Here is a 2,235-nt window from a genome sequence, read left to right on the forward strand (position 1 = left end):
CAAAGATTATAAATTATTTGATAGAATTACAAAGCTCCACCTGATATGCTTATGCTTTGTGTCCCCACCCAAATCTCATCTGAAATTGTAGTTCCCATAATCCCCATAATCCTCACTTGTCAAGGGAGAAACCAGGTGGAGGTAACTGAATCATGGGGGCAGTTTCTCCTGTGCTGTTCTCATGACAGTGAGTGAGTTCTCACAAGATCTGATAGTTTTATAAGGGGCTCTTCCCCCTTCGCTCCGTATTTTTCCTTCTTGCCGCCTTCTGAGGAAGCTGCCTTGCTTCCCCTTTGCCTTCCATCATGATTGTAAGTTTCCTGAGGACTCCCCAGCCATGCTGAACTGTGAGTCAATTAAACCTCTTGCATTTATAAATTACCCAGTCTCAGGCAGTCCTTTATAGCAGCGTGAAAACAGATTAATACACATGTAGATTGGAAATAAATAAAACTCTCTATTTGCAGATGACATAATCTTGTACATAAATACATTAAGAAATTCACAAACAAAAACTGCTATGAGATACAAAGTTTAAATTCTAATGTAAACTAGGGACCTTCATTAACAATTATGTATCAAAACTAGTACACTGATAGTGTGGTTCAAAAAATATACTACACTAAAACAAAATGTTAATAACAGGAGAAACTCTGTGCATGCAGGAGAGAAGGGGATTATGGAAACTGTACTTTCTGTGAAATTTTTCTGTATCCCTAATATTGCTCTAAAGATAGAGTCTATTAAAACAAAAGATATGAGAGCTAGAAAGCGAGTTCATCACAGTTGTAGGATACAAAATTAATATGCAAAAATCAATTCTATTTGTATACACTTCAAGTGAACACTATGAAAATGAAATTTAAAAAGCAATTTTATTTATAAGATCAAAAGAACAAAACAATTATGAATAATAATATTTTTTAAAGTTCATATAGAAATGAAAGAGAACAAGAGTACCCAAAACAATGTTGAAAAACAACAAGGTGGAGGACTCAAGAGTTCCTAATTACAAAACCTATTACAAAGCTACAGCAATTAAGACAGTATGGTAGTGGAATGAGAGTAGACATATAAATCAATTTAACATGATTAGAAGTCTAGAAATAAACCATTACATTCATGGTCAGTTAGTCTGCCAAGACAATTCAATCAAGAAATAATAGATATTTTAAATAAAGAGTTTGGAATATCTAAATATCCACATGTAAGTTAATTATGTTAAACCTCTATCTCATAAAAGTCACAAAAATTAAATTAAAACAGCTCAAAAACCTAAATACAAGAGCTAAAATGCATAAAGGAAAATTCATAAGGAAAAACTTTTAGAGAAAAAATAGTTTAAACATTTGTGACCTTGATTTAGATAATGGTTTCTTAGACATGATATCAAAAGTACAAGTGATAGAAAAAAATAGATAAATTTGTATCAAAAATAAAAACTTTTATTCCTCAAAGAATATTATTAAGAAAATAAAACCCAGAAATGGGAGAAAATATTTACCATTTATAAATCCTTTAAGGGATATATATTTGTGTATGTATGTATATAAATATACATACATGTATAATTAATACTTCTAAGATTCAATAATAAGAAGACAAATTACCTCATAAAAATACAGTCAAAAGATTTAAAGAGTCATCATACACCCACGGGCAATAAGCATCATTAGCCATGAGAGAACTGCAAATCAAAAGTACAATGAGACACCACTTCACACCCATTACTGTGGCTATAACAAAAGAGTCAGAAATATAATAGCAAGTGTTGGCAATACGTTGGTGAATTTAGAGCCCAAGAGAAACAAAACATATTTTCACACAAATATGTGTATGTCAATGTTTTTAGTAGCACTTTTTATAATAACCAAAGAGTAAAATTACCAGAAGTGCTCAAGTAATGAACAGATAATAAAGTATGGTATATCTGTACAATGAATGGAATATTTTGGCACCACAATGGAATAACGGTACAACTGATAATGGTACAACACAGATGCATCTGGAAAACGTTATACTAAGTGAATGAGGTAAAAAAATATGACATATGACAAATTTATTATTCTATTCATATTACATGTCTAGAATACGCAAATCTGTAGACAAAGAAAGCAGATTGGCTCTTGTTAGGGTCTGAGGGCGGCAAGGCAGGATCAGACATCTTAGGAATGACTGCAAATGGGTATATGGCTTTTCTTTGGAGTAACAAAAATGTTCTAAAATTGTTTGTGA

The sequence above is a fragment of the Homo sapiens genome, chromosome X (assembly GCF_000001405.40).
Source record: "Homo sapiens chromosome X, GRCh38.p14 Primary Assembly".
NCBI lineage: Eukaryota > Metazoa > Chordata > Mammalia > Primates > Hominidae > Homo > Homo sapiens.